The 10,073-nt window shown below is 31.6% G+C and overlaps 1 long non-coding RNA gene across 1 annotated transcript in view; it reads right to left on the minus strand.

Annotated features, from left to right (window-relative positions):
- The window catches only part of LINC02511 (long intergenic non-protein coding RNA 2511), a 416,898-nt gene extending 412,928 nt beyond the window's left edge, over positions 1 to 3,970 (minus strand). Inside the window, exon 1 of the long non-coding RNA NR_149105.1 lies at positions 3,908 to 3,970. This is a non-coding gene — a long non-coding RNA (long intergenic non-protein coding RNA 2511). The remainder of the gene's footprint in view (positions 1 to 3,907) is intronic.
- Between the last annotated feature and the right edge of the window lie 6,103 nt (positions 3,971 to 10,073).

Genomic DNA, 10,073 nt, shown 5'->3' on the forward strand with positions numbered 1-10,073 from the left:
AAAATACTGACATGAGACATTTTTATTGATCCTGTATGTAGACTGTTGTTATACAGAGTAATATTTTAACATATAAAGAATAGTTATTCAGTACATTAGGCATCTGGGTTTCAAAGAGAAAGCTAGAAAATAAGGGAATATTAAATTGTTATTTCCTATGTGATCTGGGTGTAGCTAAAATAGAACCAGTCATAATCATTACTACTCCTTCAAAAAACCTCAACCAGTTATTGACTAGATAACTAATATTAAGTAGAAGATGGAAATAGTTTTCTGGAAAATAATACTTTTTTTGAAGAAATTTAGGGTATTAGTTTTCAGAGAGTGAACAATAAATAAAATGAACAATAAAATAACCTATTAGTGCAATTTAAATTTTAAAATGAGTGAACAATAAATAACCTACTAGTCTAATTTAAATTTTCAAATTTTCAACATCGATATTAGTTATCCCTTTATTTGAAGTGTATTTCATATCATATGAAATGTGGTGCATCAAAATAAAAGATAAAGAGGACCATTATATAATTGATTACTTTATACCTTTTTTTTCTTTTGGAAATTCATAGAAAATGAGGATTTGATACTCTAGAATTGAGACGCAGTTGCCATGACAACCATGAGGCACAATACTGCATACCACTGTTGAAATGGCATTTGAATATCAGAAAGAATCTACTTCATTTTGTATTATTATTTTTCTTGGATTAAATGATAATAATACAATCTTGTATTTTGTTTTTAAGTAGGTGCATTTGTTATAATTTTAGCAAGGGAGGTTGATTTAAGAAAAAAATATGTAACAAGTGAATCATTTATAAGAGATTCCATGATTTTTCTAATATTTATTATTTACATAAAGATGTCACAGTAAAAGATATTTGCCTCATATAAAAGATGGCTTAAATTAAATATTTTAATTAGTATAATATTCAGTAATTTAAATTGTTTCATGACATTTACCCTAATGTAAATTACTTTCAATGCACATGTATCAGCCTGACCCTCCTTAAATCTTTATGGTAACATTTCCAACTCTACTATGTTGTCTCTATTACTGTGTCCTCATAAGCAACCTATTTCCAAACTGAACATATTACCTCTGCCTAAATCTCCCTCCTTGCATAGTCCCTGAATTCTGCTACTGGCAACACTGTGTTACCAATTGCCCAGCCTCAAGCATTAGTCACCTTTGACTTTTTCTTCTCCTTGTCATCATTTAATAAATGATAAACTAATCCTACTTAGTCTATCAGTAGAATATTCTGGTGATCTTTTAATGTAAACATTAGTGCAATATTCATTTAGTATTGTCAGAAGAAATATTAATTTTCTATTAGTAAATTTTTACCTATTTGTACATGAAATACAAGCATTTCCTGGAGTCAAAGATATTATCATGATGTAGGAATGAAGACACGGAGGAGTGTAAGAAGCCAGAAGGGCAAAACTGGAAGAATATCCATGTTGCAGTGCTTGGTATTATTCTGTAATTGTGAGCAAAACAAGATACGTTGTTTGGAAAGGAAATGATTTTTAAAAGTTATGTGGAGAATAGTTCTTATAGAAGAACAGGGAATGCTTTAAGAGGGAAAGATTAGTGGCAAAAAAAAAAAATAAACACACACACATACATAAATATCCTACCATAGTTCAAGAAATAGACAATGCAGATGTGGACTAGGATATTGTCAGTGAGATTTTAATAGATTCGATGAATTGAAAACTTGTCTTGGTGTTTTAAAGCAAGGAGATATATTGACTGGTTAAAAAAGTGGAAAACGTATGGTGTTTTTTAAGTATTTGGAAGAATAGTTAGGATTTCGATAGATAAATGGGAAAAATGGAAAGAGTCCTTGAAACAAAAAGAAAAAAACATAAAAGAATTGTATGAACAGTGTGGTGCTTGTTTATCAAAAATAATATTATTTTTAAAGTTGAGAACCCTAGAAAGATAAGGAAGCAAAAAGTAAAATTATGGTTAGTCTCTTTATAAAAATGCCAGATCATAAGGATACTTTTCATAAAAAATATTTGCTATTAGACTTCTTTAAGATTCTGAATTATTTTCATACTAAGCAATTCAGTTAAATGAATAAACAATATAATTTCAGCAGGCAATTTTGACAAATGAGTTAATCTATAATTTTAGTAGCTATATGCACACAAAATGAGGATTGTGCAATAGAAGTGTGTATTTTATTGGATTACTTCAGAATCAACGTGGGATGTTGAATATATATGTTTATATCTGCGCACACTTCAAATTCCATTACATCAGTTAAAAATATACATATAAATACACAAACGGAAATAGAACTAGAAAGGCAACCAAGATAGACAAGATTTCAACATTTTTTACAAGGTGAAGATGAAAAAGGAAAGGGAACAGAGAAAGCTGAAAAACTGACTGCAGTGAGAGAAGACAGTGAGAGGCAAAACTGTTCATAAAGCACAACTATAGAAAGGCTCAGGAACTGAAGTCACTGGCTGAAGGGGAAGGTGGAGGTGAAGCTTGATACTGAAAGATGGATTGGTCAAATGTCTACAGTAAGGGTATTGAAACCATAAGGTCATATTCTCTATTGCATTTCTCTAGGTAATAACTCTTCCTCTACCTTACAAAAGGGAAACTGGATTAGAAAGCCTCTAGCATTGGGCCCACTAAGCACAGTGGAAACCATGAAGGACCTACTTCCAGAAAGCATAGGGTTCAGTGAGAAATCTTCCTACTGTGATAACAGCAACACCCAACCATCAAGTGTGTCTGGTATGTAAACATACCACATAGAAAGGAGATGGATGATTCTACTCAGGAGAAGAAATATCACCTTGGCGAAATAATCTTTTTTTTTCCACGTTTTGTAGTCTTCCGATGAAATGCCAATTTCTCTGCCATCACATGAAACAACTTTCCCTAAGACTAGAACTTCTATCATTTTATCATTTCTAGAGGGATAACAGATGGAACAATAGTTAATACTTAAATTTCATATTTATAGAACACCATAAATTCAAACTTCTAGCTTGCACCCAGAACCAATTATTTGTGAACTGTGAACTAGACTATTGAACCCAAAGCTTTTTTTCCCAGGGTTAAATATTTTGAGAAAATTCTTTAAAAGTTAATCTAGGACATGCTGGAAAGATCCTAGATAATCCTAGACTGTCCTTTTGCTTTCAAATAAACCAATAAGGTGAATATTATCCAGAATTAAACATCTATCACCTTTCAAGACCTCTCCTGAAATTTCATCTAGGTCACGTTAAAATGACTACATTGTTTGTTCTTTCTACACCTGAAAACTAAAGAACTAACCATCTTTAGTTGAGTAGATTATTTCATATTATATCTAGCATCTCTATTCATGCACAGTCTCATAGAATAAGAATAAGCTAGTATTTCCATTAAAGCAAAATATATTTTCATGATATATTTTTGTATTGCCTGACAAGGCTAAATAGAATACTTAATGTAGAGTTCTTCAATGATATAGGCCTAGACATATACCCATTTTCAAGTAAAATACTCTACACAAATAAACACCGTCATGTTTACAAGCAACCAAATATATAAGAGTTGCTATTCTTTGATCTCTTATTATGAACCTAGTGCTACTGAATTAATGCTCCTGTGAGGTCAGTACTATTGTTATATCCATTTTATGGACAGGAAAAGGCAGAGACATGTTAAGGTAATTTCCCAGGTTGTATCATTAGTAATTGTCAGAGCCAGGATTCCCACCTAAGTGGTCTCGCTCCAAAAGCACTATGCTATACTGCCTCTAATAATCACAATGTAAATTATAATCATAAATTTATCCTATCTTCAGACACATAATTTGCTTACAAAATTTGAGTTTGAAAAGATCCTCTCCACTGATGAGCTTTCCTGATCTCTGCTTACCCAAAGCTGTGGAGGCAGGCTGCTGTGTTCTTCATCCACTCTCCTTTGTTTCTCAGCACAATTGCTCATTGTTCACCATTAAAGTCAACTCTAGGCTCTATGCTTATTTCTACTTCACACAGCTGATGGCTTCCTACTGCTTTAGCTGGTGTTTCTCCAAGTCTGATTCCTAGACAACCTGAGACACTATTACCTAGGGTGCTTATTTAAAATGCAGATTCTTATCCCCAGACTAAATGTATTCTATCAGATACTTTGAGGTGTGGCATCCATTAATCTCTGTTTTGTCACAAAATCTTTAACGTGTGCGAGTTTATTTACACAAACAGCACATGCTATACTCATATTTCTGAATGCATACATAAGAAACTGTAATAGTTGTTATTCCTCTTGTAGAGCTAAACAATGAGAATAAGGCTCTAGAGACACTAGAACTTGCTAGTCTAAAGACACTAGCTTTTTTAAGCAAAACATTTTGTTTCAGAATGTTCTAAGTTTTTAACAAGCACCTAGATAATTCTTAAGCTCATGATTTTTGAAAACCAGTGTGTTATTCCAATATCCCACTAATGGTTTAGGATAATAAATATTACCTATTAATTTCCATAAGCTTCATAGTTACATCCAAACTAAATTCCTTTGTGATGCTGTTACAATTCCCTTTCTTCCTCATTTGAACTTGTTCTCTCCAACTGCAGTGCTATATCACCAAATTTCCATGTGGCTTATTACCTCCCTCAGTTCAGATCTGCTCATCAAAAGTCACCTCAGCAGAGAACTTCCTAGACCAATTTACAAAATAACTCCTCAAGTGTGGAGGGAAAATGTGCTGACCTAATTAAATTTTGAATAGAGTGGAATCTAAATGACTAAAAGCAAAAGGAACTATACATAAACACTGTACATTATTTGATAAAGTTCATTTTTCAAAGGAGTACATGTTAACAATTTTGAAACTACTATACATGTATACTTGAACTGAACAAACAAGTAAATGAATAGCAGATGGTGGGAATCATGTTTCTCACCGATGAAGAGAGAGATTATAGATAAGCAAGGGAAGAAGTCTAGAATGACTCACACAACATTGGATTAGAGTTGGAGTCATCGAATTAAATATAAACATATGTTTAGCATAATATACATACAGGTGGACATATATAGTGAAAGTTATAGATATATGTGTATAGTAGCCTGTGCATACACCCATGTATTAGGTTAGTATACACACATAGATTTCCAAACTCTCTCGGCCGGAAGAGTCTAGACACTGTGACACTGCAGTAGCAGCAAACTCACCCAGTGCTCAGATCTTGGTTTGCATTATCTTTACCTTCCCCAATAAAAGGTATCAGGGATCCTTAGAGAACTGACTAATTCAAGGGCTGGGACATGGAATATACAAGATGAGCCTGGAGCATCTTTGCAATGCCAGAAAGTAAGGAAGTGATTTTTAAAAATGATGAGGACATATCAAAGAGACACAGGAGAAAAGCAAATGATTTCCCAGTGGTCAAATCTGGAGTGGTTTGTAGAAGAAAATGAGTATTGGATTATAATCCAAAGTATAAAATAAATATCCATGACTCCATCCTGATATCAATGGATGACTGAATATATTTTTTAAGTGAAGGGGACTAATCAGATCTCCTGTGCGGGAGAATTCCAAATAGTTGATGTAGATACTGCTTCCTTAGGGAGGTAGAGTGCAACTTACAAGTGCTTGAGTATGAGCTGCATATAATGACTTTCTTCCAAAGAGCACAGTATGGAAAGAGAGAAGAACATTGTTTACAAAGGAAAAACCTGACAAAGAGTACTTTAGCCAGGTAAAAGACTTTCATCAACATGTTGATAGAATACAGTCAACTTTCATAAGGCATGTTGATAGAATATAGCCTTGATGTGATGTGATGACAATGGCATTTTACATTTGTGATCGTCCCAAAAACCCATATCCTTAGTTTCTGAGTAAAACACAAGGCAAACCCAAATTGAGGGATATTCTACAAAACACCTGACCAGTACTGATCACCACTATCAAGGTTATTAAAAAAGAGGAAAACCTGAAAAACTGTCACAATTTAGAGGAGGTTAAGAGATATAATAACTAAATGTTAACATGGTATCCTAGCTGGTGACCTAGAACAGAAAAAGGACATTAGGTAAAAACAAGGAAATCCTAACAAAGTTTGAACTTTAATATATATCATCATTGTTTCATTATTTTTTACAAATGTAGCATATCAATAGAAGATATTATCAATACAGTAAACTACCTGTGAGTTAAAGAAGTATATATTTGCAAATTTTATGTAAAGTTAAAAGACTATTCTAAATTTTTAAAACAAAATAATCTCAACCACAGTATTAAATGACACATAAACTTTTTCATTATAGTAAAATATATCTAACATAAAATATACCATTTTAACTATATTTAAGTGTATAATTCACATTCACATTGTTGTGCAACTGTCACTCCTATTAATCTTCAGAACTTCTTCTTCATTCCAAGTTGTAACTCTGAACTCATTAGCAAACAACTTGCCATCCATCCTAGACCCTGGTAACTACCATTCTGCTTTCTGCGTGTATGAGTTTGAGCACTCTGGGTACCTCATACAAGTGGAATCATACAATATTTGGTCTTTTGTGCCTGGCTTATTTCATTTAGCAAAATATCTTTAAAGTTTATTCCTGTTGTAGCATGTATCTGAATTGTATTCCTTTATAAGGATAAATAATATTCCATTGTATACACCACATTCAGTCAGTGGACATTTGAGCTGTTTCCACCTTTTGGCTGCTGTGAGTACTGAACATTGGTGTAGAGATCTATTCAAGTCCCTGCTTTCAGGTCTTTTAACTATGTATCCAGAAGTGGAATTGTTGAATCACATGTAAATTCTATGTTTAATAATTTGAGAAACGTCTATACTATTTCTATAGTGGCTGCACCATTTTATATTACTACCAGCAATACAGAAGGGTTCAAATTTCTCCACATCCTCACCAACAGTTTCTGTTTTATGAGGTTTTGTGTTTGTTTGTTTTTCTTTTTGTTTTTTATAATAGCTACCCTATGTTTGTGAAGTGGTATCTCATTACGGTTTTAATTTGCATTTCCCTAGTGATTAGCCATGGTAAGCATTTTTTAAATGTACTTTTTGATTATTTGTATATCTTCTTTGAAGAAATGTTTACTCTAGTCCTTTGCCCATTTTTTAATTGGGTTGTTTTTTCTTTGGTGTTGAGTTGTGAGAGTTCTTGATGTATTCTGGATATCCCACACATACTCATTATTTTTTCTTTGTACTAATTACCTTACATAATATAGGTTATACTATATGCACATAACAAGAGCATAGAATATGTAAATGTAAGTTAATACTACTGCATAATGTAGATATTTGTAGTCTATTCTTATGGCACATATTTATAAACATTAAAAATAGGCCTAGGTGGGGTCTTCCTTTGTTTATTTTATCCTTATTTAATGCATTTTACTCCAGTAAAACTTAGAATATATTAAAAGCCAAGATGTGTCAGATAAGGTGGATATTCTGACTCAGAGTTCACTTCAATCTTCTAGTATGTGTTCTATAGAAACCAGAAAGTCAAAATTAAGTTTCCTAGATTCCCCTTTTATCTGGAGTTCCCATGTGACCACATATAAAAAATGATGAAGCAAAGGAAAATAGAGTTAGGGAGAATAGATCATGTGGTGGAAGTATTTTATTCCTCTAAAATATCTGTGTTAAATTCTACTAGTTGATTTCCTAGATATTAGATTAATAAGTTTGAGGCAATGTATATCAACAACAGTGGAGTTTTGTCTCTGTATAGTATCCAAGATTGGTTTTTTTTCCCCAATACTGTACAAATTTAAATTATCTGATAGATCTCCTTTAAAGTGTCCTTTATGATTAGTTACTAAAATCCTGACCTATAAAGATAGGTTCCTAAAAATCTATTTTCTTTCTACTTTATACATTATAATTCATAATTCTTAAAATGTAATTACCTTCAATTACTCCTTCAATAAACTATATACTCTCCCTTACTCACAAGTGTGCCTCTAATTCTTTGCACAATTTTGGTACAAACAAATTTCTCATTTAGTGGCACAAATAAATGAGCGAGTAAATGGATAAATGATAAATGAATAAGTGACTAGTCATACTATAAAAGCAGCTAAAGATAATGTAATTTTAGATAAATAAGTTCTATGAGAGGAAATTGCTTAATCTTTCTCAGTTTTATTTATTTATAAAGTAGGTATAATGATATTTACCTCATAGGTTTACTGTAAGAATTAAATAAAATAATGTCTTTAAATTATTCATCAGCATGTCTGTCATATACAGCACAATGTAAATGTCACATATTACTATGATCTGCAGCCTTCAAGAGATTAGAATTTTTGGTGGGTCTTAACAGGTTACAGAAGCACAGAACAAGGTTATATTAACTAAATATACAAATTATAGAAATTACGACTTTTGTTACTATTGTAACTCCTTTGCTATTTTTATATTAAAATGTCCAATCAAATTTAGAAGATTACAAATCACATACACATATATGTAATGTCACTTTTTATGCAAATGATACCACATTTAAGACAAAACTTAAAATATTTATAAATTATTGTAAGACTGTAATAAAAATTAGTTTAATAATTCACATTATACTCATTTCTCATGAATAAGGATTATCAATGTAGTTTAATTCTTAAGCCATTTTTAAATTTACCATTGTAATTCTGTAGCAATAAATAGTATGCCATGAACATAACCTTTCTAAATTTGGATTTCAAAATTCTAACCAGAATAAAATCAGAAACAAAAGAGGAGATATGACACCTAATATCACAGAAAAGTAAAGGATCATAAGATACTAATATGAATAATATTATGCCAACAAATTTGGTAACCTAGAAGAAATGTATAAATCCCTAGAAACATAAAACCTAAATAGACCGAATCAAGAAGAAACAGCAGGTCTGAACAGACAAATAACAAGGCAAGAGACTGAATCAATAACAAAAAAAGATCGCCTATCAACGTAAAGCCGAAGACAAGATGGCTTTGTAACAAAATTTTATTAAACATTTAAAAAGAGCTAATATTAATCTTCTCAGACTCTTCCCAGAAGTTGAAGAAGGAATTCTTTTAAATGCATTTTACAAGACAAGCATTATCCTGATAAAAAGCTACTCAAGGACACTACAAGAAAAAAAAAATTACAAGTCAATATCCTCAGTGAACTTGGACGTAAAATTCCTTAACAAAATATTAGCAAACCAAATTTAACAGCACAATAAAACAATGATTCACCATGATTAAGTGGGATTTATTCCTGGGATGCAAGACTGTTTCAACATACACAAATTAATAAATGTGTTATACTGCATTAACATAAAAGATGAAAGCCATATCATTATTTCAATAAGTGCAAAAAAAGCATTTGACATAATTCAACATCCTTTCATAACAAAAAAAATACTCTCAACAAATTAAGTATAAAAGAAACGTACTCTAACACAATAAAGTCCTTAAAGTTCATTTATGAAAAGGCCACAGCTAATTTTATACTCAATAAGGAAAAGTCAAAAGCTTTTCCTCCAAAATCAGAGACAAGGACAACTTGACTAGAAGTAGAAAGACCACTTCTAGTCAACATAATAATGAAAGTTCTAGCCAGAGCAAGTAGACAAGAGAAACAAAATACATCCAAATAAAAAAAAAGAGATAAATGAAATTTCTGTTTGTTTATGACATGATCTTAAATATAGAAAATCTTAGACTTCACCAAAAAACTGTTAGAACAGATACAGGAATTCAGCTTAATTGCAGGTTACAAAATCAACAAGCAAAAATCAGTAGTATGTGTTCACACTGACTATAAACTCTTAGTAAAGGAAATTAAGCAATCAATCCCATTAACAATGGTATAAGACAATAAAATACGTCGCAGTAAATTTAACCCACTAGATGAAATATCTGTATATTGAAAACTATAAAACATTGATTAAAAAATTATATAAGACACAAATGAATGGAAAGTTACCTCATGTTCATGGATTGAAAGAATTAATATTATTAAAAACTCCATACTACCCAAAGTGATTTACAGATCCAATGCAATCCTATCAAAACTC

The sequence above is a fragment of the Homo sapiens genome, chromosome 4, assembly GCF_000001405.40.
Source record: "Homo sapiens chromosome 4, GRCh38.p14 Primary Assembly".
Lineage (NCBI taxonomy): Eukaryota > Metazoa > Chordata > Mammalia > Primates > Hominidae > Homo > Homo sapiens.